The sequence below is a fragment of the Homo sapiens genome, chromosome 10, assembly GCF_000001405.40.
Source record: "Homo sapiens chromosome 10, GRCh38.p14 Primary Assembly".
Lineage (NCBI taxonomy): Eukaryota > Metazoa > Chordata > Mammalia > Primates > Hominidae > Homo > Homo sapiens.
Window position 1 is genome coordinate 46,578,793 of NC_000010.11, and position 21,422 is coordinate 46,600,214.

Here is a 21,422-nt window from a genome sequence, read left to right on the forward strand (position 1 = left end):
CTGCTCTCCGGGATGGGGGTGGTACTCTCACCCCACCCTGCCCCAAGCCGCAGGGAGCCCCTGGCGCCCCTGGCGCCCGGGACCCGCCCTGGCTGGAGCCCTGCGGTTTCCGGGAGCTCACGGTCGGCTCTGCGCCCCTCCACCGCCGGGCCTGGGCCTGGGCCAGGGACGGGCTGGGGCGGGACTGCGGCCTCGGGGCGCTGGGTCCCTGCCCCTGCCGTGCACTGCGCGGCTCCCCGCGCCGCAGCTGGGCACCAGCAGCACCACGGACCGCCCCTGTGCTCGCCCGACGGCGCCCCGCGGCGCTTTAAGAGACGGCCTGGCAGCCCAGCCCCAGCCGCCCAGACCGGCGAGACCAGCCTGCGGGAGCAGCCCCATGGCGGGTAAGCGAGCCTCGCCTCCCCAGCCCAGCCCCGGCCCCTCTGCGACCCTTCCAGCACTTGCCTCCGCCCCGCCGCCCCCGCTGGGGTGCAGCGCCTGCCCTGCCCGGCCTCGGCGCGCTCTTGGAGGGGCACTGGGATGGAGTAGACGCTGAGGCCCGCTCTTCGCGGTCAGTTGCGGCTTAGGAGGTGTGGGGGGTCCGGCCTTCTCACCACCCCACCCAGTGCAGATCCCTGAGACCTGAATGCCCCGCGGCCGCACGTCACCCTAAGGGAGGCACCTTTTTGGCCCGCCCCAGGTGGCCAGCGGTTGGAACCCAGCGTCTGAGCACCCCCGGGGCGAAGCCTCCTAGGTCCCGCAAATGCGGACGTGTGAGGGCCAGCAGCAACGGGGTCTTGCCCCCTTTTCCTCCCCACCTCGTCCACCGCGTCGCACCAACTCCCCTAAGCGCGTGCTCACCTTGATAGAGGGCTAGGGGAGGGAGCGGGTGTTAGAGAAGAGTCCAGCCTTGCAGCAGGTTCCAGGGCCCCAGAGGGTAGAGGTTTGATTGCAGACCAGGGGGAAGGTACCTTTCAGGGCTTTCCTTAACTGACTGCGTCCACACCCCAGCTCCCCTCCTGGCCTCAACAGGAGCCCAGGGGATATGGAGGTTCTGGTGAGGGCAGGTTTGATTTCTACTCAGAAGCGCAAGGAAATGGCTTCTTTAAGCCAGAATCCCAAGGGCAGGGCCAGCTGTTTTCCAAGGAAAACTAGAAGGTTCTGCCCAGGGCTCTCAGACCCTGGGGTAAACGGCTTCTCCTCTGAGAGCTGGCGGAACCTAGCCAGCAGCATCCCTCCCGGAACCCATCCCCAGCAGGCCTGCTCCTATCACTCCTGAGATCAAACCCAGAGGCAGGGTTGCTGCCCTAGTTCTGCCCCAGCAGGCCAGGGCTGTGAGGGAGAGTGGCTTTCCCAGGCAGGCATCATAGTACTGGTGGTCTCTGCCCCCAGAGCAGCTGGCCCTGGTGATTGGGGGCACCATCGGGGGGCTGCTGCTGCTGCTGTTGATCGGGGCAAGCTGCTGTCTGTGGAGAAGGTTCTGTGCCACCCTCACCTATGAGGAGCTGCCTGGGACACCAGCCATGGCCACCACAGCTGCCTCCAGTGGGCAGCGGGACAGGCCCTGCCAGCCGCATGCTAGGACCCAACTGAGCAGGTGAGGCAGGATGTGGGGCCAAGTGCGCCCCTGGAATTTCCCTCAGGGTGGGGTCGAAAAGGAAAGTTCTGTTTATGGGGGTGCCTCTTCTATGCTGCTTCGGTGCTGGGAGCTATCACAAAGAAACCCCAGAAACCTCACATCAGCTATTAGGCAGGTGTTATGAAACCCATGTTCCAGGTGAGGAATCTGAGGCTCAGTGCACATAAGCAACAGGTCCAGAGAACACAATTAGTAAGTGGCAGAACAGGAATCCAAACCCAGACTGGCTGACACTGTCAGGTGCTGTGTTCCTTCTTCAAATCCCACTGCTGTGTGTGTGTGTGTGTGTGTGTGTGTGTGTGTGTGTGCGTGTGTGTGTGTGTGTGTTGCCTGGTATGGGCCCAGAAAATGGTGCCCTGGCCTCCTCCTGGCTCCCGATGGCTTTTCTTCCTCCAGCCCCTGGTGCTCAACCGTCCTGGCTGAGCGCTCTGAGACCACACCATTGACTTGCCACCTACATGTTGTCTCCCTGACTCTGGACAGGCCACCAGCTGTGCCATTCGTGGTGCCCCCAACCCTTCAAGGCCGAGATTGGGTGCCCCTGCACAGTGGAGAGTGGGCCGATGCCCCATGGGACCCCTGCCCGGCATCAGAGCTGCTGCCTCACACCTCCAGCGGCGGCCTTGGTGAGTGTCCTTGCCAGGGCTGCCCAGAGGTCAGGGTCTGCTCGGGTGGCCCCATCTGCTTTCACCAGCTTGGCTCCGGAACACAACCTGAACCAGCCAGGGATGCCAGGGACCACCCAGGGACCACTCTTTCTGGGTGCTTTCATTTATGAAGTGCTTGCTGCACCCCATGAGGGTAAGATATGGCCTTGGGTGCTGATTTGGAGTGAGACCTCACCATGACTCTGAGGGGGAGGAATTATCACCCCATTTTACATAGTCTTAACTGAGGCTGTAAGCAACAGATTGGAATTGGAACCCAGGCACGCCATGTACAGAACTTGTGCTGGGTCCCACTCTAGGATGATGGGTTGGTTGACCAAGAGGACAGAATGGTAGGGGCTGCAAACACAGCTTTCTGCCACCTCTTTGCCCTGAAGATCTACCAAGAGACCATCACAGGAACCACCCAATAATCACCTTGGCCCTTCTAATTTGAAGAGGAAGAAGAAAGGCAATGTTTTATCGCTGAGTCATTCCCTAGACGCCATGGAAGGGGGCTAGGCCAGGTGATGGGCACTGTGTCCTTGAAACAGGTCCTGACCTCCAAGGATGGGGGCCAATCCCAGGGGGCAGGACTCTGCTGGATCCCCAGCCTGGCCATGCAATGCCTTCATGGTGAGAAGGCTTCTTGGAGGAGCTGCACCAGAGAGAGGGGATGTGTTTAGCCTGGTGAGGAGAGTGGGGCAGATGTGGTCAGGCTAGCTGAGGCTCAGCAGAGACGGATGGGCCAGGATGGGGATGGGTGCCCAGAGCTTGCCACTGTCTCCCATGCCCCTGCCTTCCTCTGGCCTGCCAGCCCTCCCACCCTCTGTCATAGGAGATGCATGTATGGTGGGGGCCATCAACCCAGAGCTGTACAAGTTCCCGGAGGACAAAAGTGAGACCGACTTCCCCGACGGCTGCCTGGGGCGGCTGTGGTTCTCGGTGGAATATGAGCAGGAGGCTGAGCGGCTGCTGGTGGGCTTGATCAAGGCACAGCACCTGCAAGCCCCCTCGGAGACCTGCAGCCCCCTGGTGAAGCTCTACCTGCTGCCCGATGAGCGGCGCTTCCTCCAATCCAAGACCAAACGCAAAACCTCCAACCCGCAGTTTGACGAGCACTTCATCTTTCAGGTACAGCCTCTGGAGCAGGCAGGGTCTGGTGCCCTCCGCGTTGCTGGGAAGGTGCAGACCTACAGGAGAGCCCAGCCTCCTGTACCAGCCAGGGCTCTGCAGCCCCCGGGACCCTTGATGCCACCAGCTCTGCTTTACCTAGTCTGCTAGGTTAAGGCCTATAGGAGCTGATCCCTGATAGAGGGGCAGGGGAGAGATTTGGTGAGTGGTGACCAGAAGCCTGGGCTTCCCTGTCCTGACTACCTGGAAGAGAGTGGGTGAAAACACAATTTTAGAGCAACTACTGAATGCCAGGCCCTGGCCTATGGGGCTCAGGGGAATTATCCCAAAGGCCTGAAGCACTATGGGGTTTCTGGCAAGTTTATCTAAGGAAGGCAAAAGACAGGCCTCAGCGTGAATGCAGAAGCTTCCTGTGCTGTCAGAGGCCAGCGCGGGGCCCGAGTGCCCTCACAGGGTAGGTGTGGTGCCTTGCTGCACTCTGGGCTGGCCGGCTTAGGGTCTGGAGGTGGAGAGTCTATTGGGGCACCGAGCCAGTTTCACAGGGGCCTGGGAGCCTTAGCAGGTGACTGGGGGCCCTTAGGGGAAGGAGTCATCGAGACCTGCCAAGAGGCCTTGGACAAACATGTTCTCAAGAGCTGGGTGGCAAGCTAGCCAAGAGGTGAGGTTCAGCCAGTCAGCTTTCAGGAGGAGTGTGACTGCGGAGGCCAGGGCCATCACTTGTGCCTTCCGCCCTGGCTGAGAGCTGGGAAGAGGGGTGCCATCGGGCCTGGTCCCGGGCCGTCTTTCTGAGGCCAGGGCTGTGAGAATTCACAGGTGAATCGCTCTTCTCAAGACATCAGAATCCAAGGCTGCAGCCTTGCTGACGTGCGACACGTCATGCTTGCAGGCTAATTTTTCTTAGCTCATCACTTCCCCACTCTATCTCGCCCCAGCTTGATCCAATCCCTCTGTGGAAAAGGGAGAAGGGGAAAGAAAAGAAAATCAATATTAATGGGCCATCTGCTGGAGGTCAGACACTGTGATTGGGGTTTTACAACCAGAGAGGAAGACCCATAATCCCCATTTCACAGGCGAGGAGGCCAAATCTCAGGGAGGAGAGAGCTGGCATGCCCAGCTCTGACAGCAGAGACAGGCCGGTGCCCTGGGCTCCTGGGCCTTTGCTACAGTGCAGGGTGGTGGCGGAGCCACACTCACCGTGCAGCCATGTCACTTGGTGCTCCGGTTAAACGGCAGATTCCAATTCATGAATCTGGGCTGGGGCCCAAGATCCTGCATTTCTAACAGGGCTCCAAGTGGTGGTAGACGCTACAGGTCCTCGGACCACACTCTGTGTACCAAGGTCCTGGCACCTACCCCCACTTTCCAGGGGTACACGGCTCTGCTGCTGAGAAGGGTCCCCTGAAAATGCCTAGGTTTGGGGGATGTGGGTCCCTGGTTGAGACACCCGTTCCCAAAAGCACCCATGTCCAGAATAACAAGTCACACCATCCCATCCCCTACCCCCACGCCTGACTCTGGCTGGTGTCCTTGTCCCCCCCAGGTGTCCAGCAAGACCATCACCCAGAGGGTGCTGAAGTTCTCCGTCTACCACGTGGACAGGCAGAGGAAGCACCAGCTCCTGGGCCAGGTGCTCTTCCCCTTGAAGAATGAGACCCTAGTGGGGGACTGCCGGCGTGTCATCTGGAGAGACCTGGAGGCCGAGAGCCTGGAGGTATGGTCAAGGTCACCATGCCTATGCCACTGAGCATCAGCTGGCAGGTGTGCACAGGGCCCAGCACCTGCTGGCGGCATCAGCCCTCAGCATCCTGCACACCACCCTACAACAGTGACTCAGGGAGGAGGGCCCAGGCCCCAAGCAGCATGGGACAGGTGGGAACGGACCTGCCCCTGGGCAGGGAGGGCCTGCTTGAGGTCCTGTTGTCACACTGGCCATCAGACCCCCTGGAGCAACCTGAAATATCCACATTTGGATTCTTATCTAGGTTAGACAGCTGTGAGAGATGACACCACAAATGGTCCAGCCCAGGGAAATGTTTCCTCCAGCCCACCACCCCCAGGAAGGCCCCAGCTGGCTCAGACCTGGGTGTGACTCCTTAGCTCTGGTCCACAGGACTGCACAAGCCCCTTAAACTCTCCAGACCACAGTTGCCCCATCCTTAAAATGGCAGTGGAACTCAAAGGGGACCATGCGGGTGTGTCGCATGGACCGCTAGGAGGAAGCGGGAGGCTCTCTGGGGGTTCTGTGACCCCTTCAGCACTTGCCAGAGTAACAGGGTGGGGTGCTTCCATCTTGGCCTCCCCAGCCCCCCTCGGAGTTTGGCGACCTCCAGTTCTGCCTCAGCTACAACGACTACCTGAGCCGCCTGACGGTGGTTGTGCTGCGTGCCAAGGGCCTCCGGCTCCAGGAGGACAGAGGCATTGTCAGTGAGTTCCTCCCTTTCCTCCTGGGGAAGGTCCCACCCACCGAGCTTACAGCCTGGGGCTACAGTCCAACCTCATCCCTGACCATCCAGTTTCTGCTTGCATACACCTATCATGGAGCGCTCACTACCTCACAAGACGTGCTGTCCCTCGGTCGACAGTTCTGGTGCAGGAAGCCTCTTCCTGTGTTGAACCCAAAGCTGCATCTCCTTGGCCTCCCCTACGGAGGGTTCTAACCCAGCCGCAATACCAGGCCCTGCCCCTCCTGTTTCCCGAGGCAGCGTCTTGGCTCTTTGAACTGTCCTGCCTGCCTCCACCTCCACCTTTCCATCAGCGGCATGGGTCCAGTTCCTCCAGGGTGAGGCCCGCACCTCCCTCCCCACAGGGGAAGAGCCCCCGACTCAATGGGCACTGATGCTTGGCCTCCCAGAATACAGGAGCTGCAGAAGGGGAGGCCTTGGTTCACCCCACATGTCCCACCCCATTTGGGCTCACCCCACACATCCCACCCATCCCAGTGAGGTGGTGGTCAGCCACCTGTTTGTGTTCACATCTGGGGTCACCGTAAGCCAGGCAGGATCCAGACCTTCCACTGTGACTCTGACCCTCACCCACCAAATCTTAGCCCTCTGTACAAGGTGTTTAAGGGGCCCCAGGGGGCCTGGGGGCCCAGTGAGCAGCCCCCCAACAGGGAGGGACAGGCTTGCGGTGCTAGGCTCTGGTAAACCAGGGCCTGCAGGAGCCGTGGGTACTTTCCTGATGCAAAGAGGAAGGAAAAGGAAGGGAGCGGAGCCCCGCCTGGGCCGCAGGGCAGTGCACTCCTCAGCCGGCTTCCTCTGGTCACGCCGGCGGGGCCGCAGCACTGTGTGAGGGGTGGGGCCCTGGCACCTAGCTTGGGCACGTGCCCTCCTAGCCGGACCTCCCACAGGCAGGGGCTCTGCTCCCACCTGCCTCTGCCAGCCCACTAGTGCTCACCGTTCCCTAGGTGTGTTTGTCAAAGTGTCTCTGATGAACCACAACAAGTTTGTCAAGTGCAAGAAGACTTCAGCTGTGCTGGGCTCCATCAACCCTGTGTACAATGAGACCTTCAGCTTCAAGGCCGATGCCACCGAGCTGGATACCGCTAGCCTCAGCCTGACTGTGGTGCAGAACATGGAAGGGGACAGTAAGGCCACACCCTACCCTGGGCTGCTGGGATGGGGACCACGAGGGGCTGCCGAGTGTTCAGGCAGAGTGAGTGCCTCCTGTCCTGACCTCAGAAGGAGCTGTACGAGCTCCCTCCCTGGTTAAGGAAACTAGTGCTCAGAAAGGCTGAAATATTGCCCAAGGCCTGGGTTTCAGGCCCAGCTTTAGTCCAGTTGAGCTCTGTCTGTGGCACCCTAGAAACAGGTTAAGCAGCCGGGCATGCTGGCTCACATCTGTAATCCCAGCACCTTGGGAGGCCAAGGTGGGTGGATCACTTGAGCTCAGGAGTTCAAGACCAGCCTGGCCAACATGGTGAAACGCTCATCTCTACTAAAAATACAATAATTAGCTGGGCGTGGTGGCACACCCCTGTAATCCCAGCTACTTGGGAGGTTGAGGTGGGAGGATCTCTTGAACCCAGGAGGCGAGGCTGCTGAATCTGTCAAAAAAAAAAAAAAAAAAAAAAGGGCCGGGCACGGTGGCTCACACCTGTAATCCCAGCACTTTGGAAGGCCGAGGTAGGCAGATCACGAGGTCAGGAGATCGAGACCGTCCTGGCTAACACAGTGAAACCACGTCTCTACTAAAAATACAAAAAATTAGCTGGGTGTGGTGGCTGGTGCCTGTAGTCCCAGCTACTTGGGAGGCTGAGGCAGGAGAATGGCATGAGCCTGGGAGGCGGAGCTTGCAGTGAGCCGAGATCGCACCACTGCATTCCAGCCTGGGCAACAGAGCGAGACTTCGTCTCAAAAAAAAAAAAAGAGGTTGGCTGGGTGCGGTGGCTCACGCCTATAATCCTAGCACTTTGGGAGACCGAGAGGGGTGGATCACGACGTCAAGAGATCAAGACCATCCTGGCCAACATAGTAAAATTCCGTCTGTACTAAAAATACAAAAGTTAGCTAGGCGTGGTGGTGCACGCCTGTAGGCCCAACTACTCGGGAGGCTGAAGCAGAAGAATCACTTGAACCCGGGAGGCAGAGGTTGCAGTGAGCCAAGATCTTGCAACTGCACTCCAGCCTGTCCACAGAGCGAGACTCTGTCAAAAAAAAAAAAAAGAAAAGAAAAGAAAAAGAAAGAGGTTAAGCAATGGCCTCTGCTGCCCTCTCCTGGAGCAAATCACCCGAGAGAGTGGGAGGGGCCAGGCCTGCCACCAGCCCAGGGACCTGGTGCTCTGACCTTCCTCGTGCCCTCCAGATGAGACTTTGGGGTTCTGGGCGAGTTCTGTCAGCCAGCTCCCACACTGCCCCACACCCCAGCACCCACTGCCACTCTGGGGAAACAGAGCCATCAGGCCGTGGCTGGCCACATGGCCTGGACTTAAGACCCTTCTCCACGGTGGCCAGTGAATGTTACTGCTGAATGTACTCTCGGATGGCCGAGGCCTTCTTTCTAGAGGGGCCCTTTCCTCCCTCAGCTCTTTGGCATAAGGTAGACTTAATACGGCCCCACAGAAGGGTGTGGGGCAGAGCTGGTGGCCCTCAAGGAGAGAGTCTTTCAGGGCTCTCCTTCCTCCCAATCTCCCAGGGGGAGAAGCAGCCCTTCCAGCTGCAGAGCAAAGGCAGGGCCCCTTTGGGGCCTGTCAGCTCCCACTCAGAGAGGAGGGGAGTTGCTACTTCCTCCTGGGGAGGAGGAGGGAGGAAAGGAGGTCACTGGGGACGGGGCTTCTGTGCTCAGGAGCACACCGGTGCTCTCCCTCCCCTGCAGAGAGCCAGCAGCTGGGCCGAGTGGTGGTGGGCCCCTACATGTACACCCGCGGCAGAGAGCTGGAGCACTGGGACGAGATGCTCAGCAAGCCCAAGGAGCTGGTGAAGCGCTGGCATGCGCTCTGCCGCACCACGGAGCCCTGACCCTTCGCCCAGCACCGCGGTTCCGCTTTGGGAGCCGACCATCCTCGCAGTTGCATGTGACAGCCACAGCCACACGCATGGACGTTTCATCCAACAGCTCCCCGAGCTGCCAGCCAGCCCGAGCCAGGAGGACGTGAGTGCTGATATGCAGGAGAGAAGAGGGGACAAAGAAGCCCTGGCCCGGTCAGCGGCTCTGGCCATACAGCCTTCCGACACACTCCCTCCTCCTTATCTGCGGGGCTGCCTGGGCTCGGAATCCCGGCTCCTGGTCCTCACAGCCCTGATTTGGACCAGAATCTCAGATGCTCAGAAGAAAGATCCTGTTTAGTGATGACCCAGCTCTACCTGCTGAATGGACCTGCAGGGTAAACTTGGGTGCCTCCATCTGGGAAAGCTGATGATGTGTTCATGCAGTCGATGACCCTCACTGCTTTTTCAGCCAGGGTTTCTCTGCCTTCTGCCTGGCAGAGAAAACACACTGCTATGGGGAAAATCACAGGGAGGGCGCTGTGACCAGCGCACTCAGGCACCAAGTGTCGGCATGGCTCACTGTGCTGGGTGAAGGCCTCCCCGAGCATTAGGTCCTCCACGGGGCTGTGTCAAATGCCCTCCCACATTGTGTCAAGTCTGCCCATGGCCCACCCTCCCCACAGTCCAAAACCACACAGCCCTGGTTCTCCAGCTGTTCTGCTGCTGTTTCTGTGCTCTCCCTGATTAAGAGCATTCAGTTCCTGGGCTCTCCCTTTGAGCAGGAAATGGTGAAAGCATGTGGCTATGGTATAGCCCACAGGGCTGAGATTGCTGTGTTGCAGTATTGATGTAAAATTTGTTAAGAAGGAAGTACCCACAGATCACTGCCATCAACTCCCCAGAAGTTGCACTCAAGCTAGTGAGCAGCCCTTGTGCTTGTCACAGTTACTGTAACAGGTAGTGTGTATTTGCACCTGGCATCGTGCAGCCTGCACGTCAACACGTTGTTTTGTGTAACTAGAACAGCACATGGAACCACTATCTCTTTCTCTTTTTTCCTTCTTTTTCTTTTTTTTTTTTTTATTTTAATTTTTTGAGACGGAGTTTCCCTCTTGTCACCCAGGCTGGAGTGCAATGGCGTGATCTCGGCTCACTGCACCCTCCACCTCCCAGGTTCAAGCGATTCTCCTGCCTCAGCCTCCCAAGTAGCTGGGATTACTGGCGCCCGCCACCATGCCTGGCTAATTTTTTTTATTTTTAGTAGAGACGGAATTTTACCATGTTGGCTAGGCTGGTCTCAAATTCCTGGCCTCAGGTGATCCACCTGCCTCAGCCTCCCAAAGTGCTGGGATTACAGGCATGAGTCACCGCACCCAGCCCGACCAGTATCTTTTTCTTATGCAGTGAAACAACTTTAGCAAAAGAGGCAATGAATGTTATACTGAGTTTCTACCTCTTTAACTCCACCTCCAATTTCTGTCAATCTACAAACACAAGTGTCGCCTCGCAGTGTTTCGTATGAACAGAATATCTTGTGTTTGCTTTTTGTCACTTATTTCACTTGCACATTTTTTGTTTGTTTGTTTGTTTGTTTGTTTGTTTTTTGAGATGGAGTCTTGCTCTGTCGCCCAGGCTGGAGTGCGGTGGCGCGATCTAGGCTTACTGCAAGCTCCGCCTCCCGGGTTTACTTACACCACTGTCCTGCCTCAGCCTCCGGAGTAGCTGGGACTACAGACACCTGCCACCACGCCCTGCTAATTTTTTGTATTTTCAAGTAGAGACGGGGTTTCACTGTGTTAGCCAGGATGGTCTCGATCTCCTGACCTCATGATCTACCCGCCTCGGCCTCCCAAAGTGCTGGGATTACAGGCGTGAGCCACCACGCCCGGCCCACTTGCACATTTTCAAAGTAGTCCGCAAAGCTGTAGTTTCTAATAGCTTCATAGCTCACATGTAATAGGGGTTCTCTGTGTGTTTATAGAGCAGGCTACTACAGTGGAACTGTTTCTGTTTCATCTGACATCCGGATAGATGCCAGCCACCCCCACATTCCAAGGTGAGATTTCTGACTAGCAGTGACTTTTCTAGGGCCGCTTGGAAAAGTTGATAAGTATCCTTTTCTGCAGGACAGAGTAGACTGGTATCTCTGACTCATCCCTGAAAAATCTAAATGGCAAGAGACTAGCTGGCTCTCTGCTCTGATGGGGAGGAGGTTGTTGTTTGGGCTGTTCTCTACAGACATAGTCAGGGCAAAAAGCATACGCATGCTTCCCATGGACCAGAGAAACCTGGCCTGGGTTGTCTCAAATCCTGTCCACAAGGCAACTCCAGAAGAAAGAAGCCCTTTACATTTCCATAAAACACTTTAGAATCAGCTAGTCAATTTCCACAAAATAAAGTGCTAGAATTTGATTGGATTTAATTGATTATGTAGAACAATTTGGGGGCCATTTGACATCATTAAAATATTCAATCTTCCTATTCATTAACATGGTATATCTCTTCACTTTAAGTCTTTTGTATGTTTCTCAGAACTATTTTTGTGGTTTTCAGTAAAGTGTTCTTGCACATCCTTCAATAGATTTATTCTTAGACGTTTTATATTTGTTTATGGCTAGTATATACAGATTCTGTTGCTACAAAACTATGTTGACCTTGTTATCCAGTGAGAGGCTTTGTGACATTCATTTAAATTGTAATAATTTGCAGATTATTTTTGTATAATCATGTCCTCTGTGAATGACAGTTTTATTTCTTCCTTTCTTAATCTTTATGCCTTATTTAGCTCTTGCCAAACTGCAGTGGCTGAGCAATTGGACAAGATAAAGAAATAAAAGTGATCCAGATCATAAAGAAAGAAGTAAAACTATATCTGCACATGACATAATCTTGTCTATGGAAAATCCTAAGGAATCCACACACAAAAAAACTACTAGAGCTAATAAGTTTGGCAAGGTTGCAAGATATAAAATTGGTATACAAATTGCAGTGGCTAGGACCTCCAGCAGAATGCTGACTATAAGTAGTGATAGTGGGTATTCTTGTCTCATCCTCAATCTCAGGGGTGGTGGGTGTGGCATGTGGAGAGTTGTCAATATTCACCATGAAGTTTGATGGTTGTTATAGGATTTTTAATGTACTCATTAACATATATTCTCAAGCTGTTAAAAAGATTTTTTTAATTACAAATAAGGTTAAATTTCTCTCAAATACTTACTCTGCACCTTTTGAAATAATTTTATTTTTCTCCTTTATTCTTTGGATGTGATGACTTATACTAATTGACTGTTGAATGTCAAACCAAACTTAACATTCTTGTAATAGAAACCAGCAGGGTGTGTACACTTTTGTGTGTGTGCGCAGGTTTATACACATAAACACAACAATACTTGGACTTATTTATTTAAAATTTAGATTTATTAGAGGGAGCATGGCCATAAAATAAAATAAAATAAAATTTAGATTTAAGTCGAGCTCAGTGGCTCACATCTATTATCCCCGCACTTTGGAAGGCCAAGGCAGGTAGATTGTCTAAGCTCAGGAATTTGAGACCAACGTGGTGAAACTCGGTCTCTACAAAAACCACAAAAATTAGCCAGGTATGGTGTCACATGCCTGTTGTCCCAGCTACTTGGAGGGCTGGGGCAGGAGTATTGCGTGAGCCCGGGAGGTTAAGGCTGAAGTGAGTCATGTTCACGCCACTGCACTACAGCTTGGATAACAAAGCGAGACTCTGTCTCCAAAAATAAAATAAGTAAATAAATAAATAAATAAAATTTAGATCAATTTGCTGTTATATTTTTATATAAACTATGTTTATGACATAAGTATAAACAAAAAAATAAAATAAGTAAATAAATAAATAAAATTTAGATTAATTTGCTGTTATATTTTTATATAAGCTATGTTTATGACAGACTTTCCTATAATATTCTTATCATAATGTTCTTGCACTTGAAAGAATGTGCATTCTGCAGTTGTGTGCAGGTGTTATGTGTATTTCAACTGGGTCAAGTTTGTTAATCAGGTTGGTCAAATTATCTACATCTTTACTGATATTTTTGTCTGTTTTTCTATAAATTACTGAGAGAGGATAAAGCCTGCCACTGTTATTATGAATTTGTTTATTTCTCCTTTGAGTTTTGTTAGTTTTTGTTTTATGCATTTAGAGGTTGTGTTATTAGGCTCATACCCATTTAAAATTGACGTTTTCTGGTAGAGTGAACCTTTATTATGTGAAATGGCTTTCTCTACCACTCACAATGGTATTTTTTTCACTTTCCCCCTTATTTTTGAATTTTCAATGTTCTTATAATGATGTCATGTCTCTTGAATAGAGTTGTTTTAATCAAGTCTGTCAAATTTTGTCTTTTGTGTATTTCGTGAATTTACATTTATTGTAATTACTGATATAGTTGTGTTCATAAATACCATCTTACTACTTGTTTCCATTTGTCTTACCCATTTTTGTTTTTATTTTTTCTTTTCTGTTGCTTTCTTTCTGATTATTTTTTTAATTCCGTTTCCCCCCCTACCATTGGTTCTACTTACACATTCTTTTATAATTTCTTTAGTGGTTTCCTCCACAGATTACAACTTCTGTACATTATTATAATCTAATACAAATTTTACTTTTTATTGTTTCCCAGACAATGCTATGATCTCACAATACTCAATCTCTATTTACCTCCATTCTACTCTTGCATGTATATTATTATTACTCATTTTAATTTCACATATATTTTACACCTAACGAGACATTATTATTATTGCTATGTGCAGTCAATATTCATTTGTATTCACCCACATATTCACTCTGTTTTTTTTTATTATTTCCTGCATTTCTGTGATTCTATCATAGATCAGTTTTCTTCTACCTGAAGAATTCCCTTTAGTATTTTTTGTGTATGCACATCTGCTGGCAGCAAATTTTCTCAGGTTTTTTTGTGTTTTTTTGTTTGCTTGTTTTTGAGACAGGGTCTCACTCTGTCGCCCAGGCTGGAGTGCAGTGGCATGATCATGGTTCACTGTAGCCTCAACCTCCTAGGTTCAAGCAGTCCTCCCACCTCAGCCTCCCGAGTAGCGGGACTACAGGCAGGCACCACCATACCTGGCTAATTCTTTTGTATTTTTTGTAGAGAAGGGATTTCACCATGTTGCTCAGGCTGGTCTCAAACTCCAGAGCTCAAACAGTCTGCCTGCTTTGACCTCCCAAAGGACTGGGATTACAGGCCACCTCACCCAGCCTTTCTCAGTTTTTGAATAGAAACATCTATTTCAAATTCATTTTTAAGTATATTTTGTGAATATAGGATTACAGGTTGACACTTTTTTCTTTGAGGAACTTCAGAATGGCACTCCATTATCTTCTCACTTCCATCATTTCTGTTGACAAGTGATTTTCAGTGCTATTGTTTCTCCTTTGAGAGTAATGTGTCAGTAACATGCACTGGCTCACGCCCGTCATCCCAGCACCCTTGAGCCCAGGAGTTCAAAACCAGCCCAGGCAACAGAGCAAGATCCCCCCCCTCTACAAAAGAAAATGACAGGAGGGAGGCAGGAAGGAGGAGAGAGGGAGGGAGGGGAAAAGAAAAAAGAAAAGAAGAAATGTGTCCCTCCTACCTGCCTCTAGCTGCTTTTACTGTTTTTTCCTTGTCTTTCATTTGCAGCAGTTTAAGTATAGTGTGCCTGGGTTGGGTGCGGTGGCTCACGCCTATAATCCCAGCAGTTTGGGAGGCCAAGGCCAGTGGATCACCTGAGGTCAGAAGTTTGAGACCAACCTGGCCAACATGGTGAAACCCCGTCTCCACTAAAAAATCCAAAAATTAGCCAGGCATGGTGGCGCGTGCCTGTAATCCCAGCTATTCGGGAGACTGAGGCAGGAGAATCGCTTGACCTTGGGGAGGCGGAGGTTGCAGTGAGCTGAGATCGCGCGCCACCGTACTCCAGCCTGGGTGACAAAGAAAAACTCCGTCTCAAAAAATAATAATAAAAAAAAAGTATAGTGTGCCTGGATGCAGTTTTGTTTTTATTTATCCTGCTTGGGGATCATAAAGCTTTATCAGTTTTGGAAAGTTCTCAGGCTATATTTATTTAACTGTTCCTTCTGCCCCATCTTCCTCCCTTCTAAGACTCCAGTTACATATGTGTTAGGCCTGTTCACCACCTCCCACAAGTATCTTATGTTCTTTGCTGTATTTTCCATACTCTTTGTCTCTGTTCTTCAGCTTAGAGTTTTTATTCTGTCCTATATTACAGTTCAAAGAATGTTCCTTCTGCTAAATCTAATTGTAGTTAACCCATATGCTAAGTAGTTAATTTCAATTATTGTATTTTTAAGTTTTAAATTTCCATTTCATTCTTTCTTATAGATTCCAGTTCTTTGATGAAAGTCTCTATTCCACCCATCAAGTCTGTGTCTGATAACACCAATATCTGGGTCATTAGTGGCTCCGTTTTGTTGTGTCTGTTTTCCCCTCCTTCCTGTTTTGTGGTGTGTTTGATCACTTATTGTTGAATGCTAACCATTATAATAAATTTTAGTGGCTCCAGGAAACATGATCTGAAAACAATGTCTGTCTCAAGGGAGGGTTTACCATGTCATCTGATAGACAGAGTGGGAAGATTTTACCTTAATCCAATGGTACCGAACTGACTAGAGTCTATGTTGCAGTTTTTGGAAGGCTTCATCTCCATCTCTGGTTTGCCCGTCTATCTAGAGTGTGGTCCTCCAAGGATTCCAACTGAGTGTCTGATGTGATTATTAGGCTTCTTTTCCTTGGTGGGTCCTGAACTCCAACTTTTATCTCATTAATATGACACTGCCAAAACCTGCTGCTTTTCATAGCCTTTCTGCATAGCTTAACTCAGCAGATGCCTCAAGGGGAAAGTGTTCCTTTTCTGTGTCTCCCTTCTACATGATATCTCGGCCCCTTCAGTTCCAGCTGCCTTGACAACCTCAGTCTCCATTTCTTGTCTCTCCAGCTGAAGACGACTCTGCTGCCTTTGCTGCCTCTTAGCTATGGCCGTCTGCCCAAATGCTCGGCCTCTTAGCTAAAATCAGCACGTTTCCTGAAGGGAAAAGTAGTTCACAGAGGGCCAGCTTGCCTCCTTGTGTTTTTCTTCTTTTGAGATTATGACCCTTCAAATGTTTGTTAACTGGGAAGCTTTCCAAAAACTTTTTAAAAAAGTTTTCTGTGTTTTATTCAGCCTTTCCAGTTGTTCTTGGAATGAGTGTTGGTCTGCCTCAAGCAGAAAAAAAATTCTCAGAATTCTTTTCTCAGAAAAAGGATTCTCAGCAGAGAGTGATTTTATACAGGGAATGGGATTAAACAATTCTTGGGAAAGCTGGTGAAGCCAACGAGGGAACAGTTACTTTTATCAGTGTGCAATTTTTTTGCTATAATGGTGCATAACAACTAATCACAACATGTCAATGCCATACTTAAATAAGCACTCATTTCTAACACATCTGTGGGTTGGCTGGAGGTGGTCTGAGCTAGGGTAGGCAACTCACTTTTTTTTTTTTTTTTAGGGTTTCACTCTTGTTGCCCAGGCTGGAGTGCAGTGGCGCCATCTCAGCTCACTGCAACCTCCGCCTCCCAGGTTCAAGTGATTCTCCTGCCTCAGTCTCCTGAGTAGCTGGGATTACAGGCATGCGCTACCACGCCCGGCTAATTTTGTCTGCCTTCCTTCCTTTCTTTCCTTTCTTTCTTTCAACGGAGTTTTGCTCTTGTTGCCCAGGCTGGAGTGCAATGGCGTGATCTCGGCTCACCGCAACCTCTGCCTCCCAGGTTCAAGCGATTCTCCTGCCTCAGCCTCCCAAGTAGCTGGGATTACAGGCATGTGCCACCACGCCCGGCTACTTTTGTATTTTTAGTAGAAACGGGGTTTCTCCATGTTGGCCAGGCTGATCTCGAACTCCCGACCTCAGGTAATCCGCCTGCCTCGGCCTCCCAAAGTGCTGAGATTACAGGCGTGAGCCACTGCGCCAGGCCTAATTTTGTATTTTTTAGTAGAAACGGGGGTTTCTCCATGTTGGTCAGGCTCGTCTCGAACTCCGGACCTCAGGTGATCTGCCTGTCTCGGCCTCCCAAAGTGCTGGGATTACAGGTGTGAGCCACTGCGCTGGGCCTGGCAACTCACTTTCAAGCTGGCTGGGCTTGGCTCCTCACATTTGTGCATTCTGAACACAGGCTGCAGGGACAGCTGCTACCCCCAGGGAAAGCTCTTTTCATGGTGAAGGCAGAAGCATAAAAAGGCAAGCTGCATTGTGCAGATGCATATCTGTGTCTCTCCTTATGTTATGTCATCCAATATCCCATTGGCCAAAGCACGTCACATAGCCAAGCTCCAAATCAAGGGTCAGAGAAGTAAATGATATCTTTTTCCTGAGGGGAACTGCAACACTACAGGGCAATGGACACAGCCACAGGGAGGGGTGAAGAATTCAGGTGGACAACGCAATGAACCATGCTGATGTTTCCTGGAGCTGGGATCTTCAGGAATTTGTGCTTCGCTGTGCCCATCCAGTCACCAAGGAGGAACCCCCCTACTGCAGAGCTGCTTTTGGGCCTCGATGCCATTGTTGCCAAACTGACATTCCATGATGAAAATGGACTGTAATTTGTACAGCTATTTGCCAGTTACGTTTTTTCTATTTTGCACTGTGGAAATCTTTGCCCAAATTACTGCAAGAGTCTCGAGCATCCTGCTGTCATAAGTGCAGAGTCAAAGGAAGAAAACGATGATTTTTTAAACCATCTTTCTGCTTTCTAGTCTCACCTGAGTGCCTCACATTTGGCAGAATCAACCTGGAATCCTGCTCATAAGACTATCAGGGAAATATAATTCCCAGACTTCCATTTCCAGAAAAATGTAATAAATACTTTTAAAGGGGATGGAGATGGTACCGTGTGCTAACCCCACTCTGAGACAAACCTGGGTCACAGGAACCATAGGGAAGATGTCTGCAGTAGAAGGGGACCTCGAAGTACTCAAGTACTTGGCTCACAACAGCACTATTCACATAAAGCCTGGCCTGCCCCTTGGTGACCTCCTTCCCTTACGCCTCTAGACTCTACTAGGTGATCAGAAATCCCTGCAAGCTAGTTGGGGAGGGAAGAGTGAAAGTGAAAAATGGAGAGGAAACACTGCTACCCGCCCAATGCCTGGAGCCAAATGCAAGCCTGGGCCAGACTTGGGGGAGGAATCAAGAGGAAGCTTAAACTTAAAATGAAATCGAAAGTTTAGACTCCTACATGGGATTGGACATTTTAAATGCTGAACAGAGCCTATTTTTATAGCTAGAAGTTACAGGACACATTTTTGGTTAACTGAGAATGATCCAAAAATCATGTGAATTTTGTGATCCAGAAAGTCACAGAACATGCCCTAGATTTTATCCCAGGGGCAGGGAGGAGTGACCTGCAGAGTAAGTTTGAATTGGTAAATAGAAAACAAGAATAAAATAGTTTGCTGTTTACATTCCATAAGCCTGGCTCTTTCAACATCATGGGTATATTTCTTGGTTGAATTTAGTATGCCACTATGACGCCGGATTGTGATATTTGCCTAGGATGTTTTGTCCTAACATTTAGTATGGAATCATTTGCCCAAATCACCTGCCCCTCTCCACTTGTAGCTTTATTTCAAGATGTATGTTTCTCAAAGTGGAGTGACTGCCAGAGTGGGAGAAAGGAGCTAGCCCTTACCGCTGTAGTAGGTCTTTGTACATCAGCTTGGTAAATCTGCAAGGCCCCCCCCTTCCCCCTCCCCCCAACCCCCCCTTCCCCCCTCCCCCCCAACCCCCCCCCACCAGGAGCCTTCCCCACGTGTGGACAAGAGAGATGGGAGGATCCGGGAGGATGTGCTGTTTCTCAGGGTCCCACAGCTAGAAGGTGATGGAGCTAAAATTTAAATCAGATTCCAAATGTCTAAAAATACTGTCATTATCACATATTACCAGAGACACCTCAAAAAAGACAGAGACGCCCTGCAGGGCCGCAACATTCCCGCAGCCTGGTAGGGTCTGTTGGGGGCCCCATGCCTGTGAGAGCCGCTCCTGTCGGTGCAGCACCGGGGAGGCTGTGCATTCAACGAGTCCTTCCTCCCTTCTCCTTTCATTCCATTGCTGCCTTCCTTCCTCCCTTCCCCCTCCGCTCCTTCCCCTAGACCTTCCTTCCGCCCTCCCTACCCCCCGCACGTCTCTCCCTACCGTCCTTCTTTCTGTGTGAATTATCTGTTCATCTCCATTGCTGCAGTACCGTCTGGCAAATCATCTGCTTGGATCCTCCTGGCTTTTTGAGAATCGGCTGGCATCAGGGTGCTGACTGACAAACTTCCCGGGGTCTGGGCACTGTGGGGACGGAGCCTGCAGACGGCGGTGTCCCCGCTAGGAGAGCCGTGGGGACGTGATTAACAGGTCAGGCCGGGCCGCGAGGTGGCGGAGGGGCCGCGCTTGCGGGCGTGGGGCGCTGGCAGAGCGCGATCCGCGGCCTGTGGCCCGCAGCCGGACCCGAGCGACAGCCTCCCGCAGCGTGTCTCCAGCGCCCTCTACTGTTCAGCATCCTCCCTGCCGCGAGGGGAGCCGCGGAAGGGGATTCTGGCTGTGCCCACAGAGCAGGTATTAAAGGATGGATTTGGAGGTGCGAGGCCATACATTGACAACCGGTATACCATGCGTCCCAAAACCTTCCCTTGTGTCCCCTTCCAAACACTACCTCTCCCTCCCCACCAAAATAACCAACGACCTGATTTTTATGGCAAACACTGCTTTTACCACCTAACCATGCAACTTCTCTCTCTCTCTCTCTCTCTCTCACACACACACACACACACACACACACACACACACACACACACACATATATATATATATATATATATATATGAAGCCTGTTGTGATTTTGATTGGGATTGCATTGAGATTTTTTTCTTTTTCCATTTCTTTTTTTTTTTTTTTTGAGACAGAGTCTTGCTCTGTCGCCCAGGCTGGAGTGCAGTGGCCTGATCTTGGCTCACTGCAAGCTCCGCCTCCCGGGTTCATGCCATTCTCCTGCCTCAGCCTCCCGAGTAGCTGGGACTACAGGCGCCCGCCACCACGCCCGGCTAATTTTTTGTATTTTTTTTTTTTTTTTTTTTTTTAGTAGAGACAGGGTTTCACCGTGTTAACCAGGATGGTCTCGATCTCCTGACCTCGTGATCTGCCCGCCTCAGCCTCCCAAAGTGCTGGGATTACAGGCGTGAGCCACTGCGCCCGGGGTTGCATTGAGTTTATAAGTCAATTCAGGGGAGAATTGACATCTTTAAAATACTGGGTCATCTAATCAGTTCACATGGTATGTACTTCTGTTTATTTACCTCTTCTCTCATTTCTCTAAATAATATTTAAAGTGTCATGGACATCTTTCATTAAATTTTTCCCCAGACATTTGAATTTTTATGCTACCATAAATGGTATTGTTTTAAAATGTTTTATTTTCTAACTCTTGCTGGTATACAGAAATAAAATTGGTTTTCCTATTTTGACCATTTATTCAGTCATGCTAAACTCACTAATTCTAATAACTTGTCTCTGGATTCTTTTGAGTTGTTAATATACATACATAGTTTTGTATCTTAGGTCCAATCTTAGTATTTTTATTTCAACTTTTTTGCCTTATTACTCTTGTTAGGAATACCAGGAAAGTATTGAATACAAGTGATGATAATGGACATCTTCGTCTTATTTCTGTTCTCAGAAATGTTTCCACATTTCATTATTAAGGAAAATATTTACCATAGTTGTAGCTCCTTGAGATAAACAGTGTTAAAATTTTTTGGCCACTCTCCATTGATTTAATGTATAGTTTTCTAAAAATGAAATATTTTACATACTGTTTCTGAGTAAGATTTTTTACCCAATGCGCTGTAAACACCAAAATCATATATTTTTATATAGTTTTACTTGGCTTACCTTGTTTTTTTGCTTTAACTTGAAAAATATTTCCCTGTTAGGCCAGGCGCAGTGGCTCACGCCTGTAATCCCAGCACTTTGGGAGAGCGAGGCGAGAGGCTCACCTAAGCCTGGGAGTCTGAGACCAGTCTGGCCAACATGGAAAAACCCCATCTCTATTAAAAATACAAAATTAGCCAGGCATGGAGGTGCATGCCTGTAATCCCAGCTACTCGGGAGGCTGAGGCAGAAGAATTGCTTGAACCTGAGAGGTGGAGGTTGCGGTGAGCCAAGATCGTGCCATTGCACTCCAGCCTGGGCAACAAGAGCAAAACTCTGTCTCAAAAAAAAAAAAAATCCCTGTTTATTCTTTTTTTATAATCGTTTTATTGAGATATAATTCACATATACGATTCATCCATTTAAAATGTATAATTCGATGGTTATTGGAATATTTACATTTCTGTTTAATTCCCTCAATTAATTTTTACATCAACTTGTCAACTTGTATAGGCCATCCCTCAGGGACTTTGTTTATTGTTGAATTAACTCTGTATAGTACATCTTCCCAAACAGCAGGAGCACAGTAGAGTGTTCCACTACTTCTTGTCTCCTTTTATTTCCCTCATGATATTTAAATCATTTCCTTTCAATAAATTAAG

The 21,422-nt window shown here is 50.2% G+C and overlaps 1 protein-coding gene and 1 long non-coding RNA gene across 15 annotated transcripts, besides 7 other annotated features; one reads left to right on the forward strand and one right to left on the reverse strand.

Moving 5' to 3' along the window:
- Positions 201–1,078: an enhancer, noted in NCBI's record as "H3K27ac-H3K4me1 hESC enhancer chr10:46969747-46970624 (GRCh37/hg19 assembly coordinates)". NCBI's record gives its function as "activates a minimal SCP1, AML or CMV promoter by ChIP-STARR-seq in primed H9 embryonic stem cells {active_cell/tissue: H9 hESC(primed)}" and the evidence as "EXISTENCE:reporter gene assay evidence [ECO:0000049][PMID:30033119]".
- Positions 336–18,316, forward strand: SYT15 (synaptotagmin 15). 13 transcript variants are annotated; one of them, XM_047425825.1, is made up of 9 exons: positions 336–383; positions 1,372–1,576; positions 2,102–2,244; positions 3,083–3,399; positions 4,940–5,110; positions 5,703–5,823; positions 6,806–6,985; positions 10,807–10,881; positions 16,360–18,316. In XM_047425825.1, exons 1-8 carry the CDS (start codon positions 377–379, stop codon positions 10,854–10,856), a joined length of 1,194 nt encoding a protein of 397 aa, XP_047281781.1. In that variant the 5' UTR covers positions 336–376; the 3' UTR covers positions 10,857–10,881; positions 16,360–18,316. The 13 variants fall into 13 exon arrangements, with proteins under 13 accessions (XP_047281781.1, XP_047281783.1, XP_047281784.1 ...); XM_047425827.1 differs by lacking the exon at positions 16,360–18,316 and adding an exon at positions 11,611–15,381; XM_047425828.1 differs by lacking the exon at positions 16,360–18,316 and adding an exon at positions 15,197–15,381.
- Positions 1,079–1,958: an enhancer, noted in NCBI's record as "H3K27ac-H3K4me1 hESC enhancer chr10:46968867-46969746 (GRCh37/hg19 assembly coordinates)". NCBI's record gives its function as "activates a minimal SCP1, AML or CMV promoter by ChIP-STARR-seq in primed H9 embryonic stem cells {active_cell/tissue: H9 hESC(primed)}" and the evidence as "EXISTENCE:reporter gene assay evidence [ECO:0000049][PMID:30033119]".
- SYT15-AS1 (SYT15 antisense RNA 1) lies at positions 3,376–19,353 on the reverse strand. Of its 2 annotated transcripts, none has more exons than NR_155739.1 (2): positions 19,042–19,353; positions 3,376–4,346 (listed from the first exon to the last, which is right to left on the reverse strand). It is a non-coding gene; the product is annotated as an SYT15 antisense RNA 1 (long non-coding RNA). The 2 variants fall into 2 exon arrangements; NR_155740.1 differs by lacking the exon at positions 3,376–4,346 and adding an exon at positions 17,312–17,538.
- Positions 7,962–8,256: an enhancer, noted in NCBI's record as "tiled region #8617; K562 Activating DNase unmatched - State 25:Art". NCBI's record gives its function as "activates a minimal TATA promoter and a strong SV40 promoter by Sharpr-MPRA in K562 cells {active_cell/tissue: K562}" and the evidence as "EXISTENCE:reporter gene assay evidence [ECO:0000049][PMID:27701403]".
- Positions 7,962–8,846: a biological region, named in NCBI's record as "Sharpr-MPRA regulatory regions 2784 and 8617 duplicate 1".
- Positions 8,022–8,316: an enhancer, noted in NCBI's record as "tiled region #2784; HepG2 Activating DNase matched - State 5:Enh, and K562 Activating DNase unmatched - State 25:Art". NCBI's record gives its function as "weakly activates a minimal TATA promoter and a strong SV40 promoter by Sharpr-MPRA in HepG2 and K562 cells {active_cell/tissue: HepG2 | K562}" and the evidence as "EXISTENCE:reporter gene assay evidence [ECO:0000049][PMID:27701403]".
- Positions 8,226–8,409: a silencer, noted in NCBI's record as "fragment chr10:46962416-46962599 (GRCh37/hg19 assembly coordinates)". NCBI's record gives its function as "represses an EF-1alpha promoter that drives an FKBP-Casp9 reporter gene in an ReSE screen in phorbol 12-myristate 13-acetate-treated (for megakaryocytic differentiation) K562 erythroleukemia cells {active_cell/tissue: K562(+PMA)}" and the evidence as "EXISTENCE:reporter gene assay evidence [ECO:0000049][PMID:32094911]".
- Positions 8,327–8,846: an enhancer, noted in NCBI's record as "H3K27ac-H3K4me1 hESC enhancer chr10:46961979-46962498 (GRCh37/hg19 assembly coordinates)". NCBI's record gives its function as "activates a minimal SCP1, AML or CMV promoter by ChIP-STARR-seq in primed H9 embryonic stem cells {active_cell/tissue: H9 hESC(primed)}" and the evidence as "EXISTENCE:reporter gene assay evidence [ECO:0000049][PMID:30033119]".
- Positions 19,354–21,422: the final 2,069 nt, after the last annotated feature.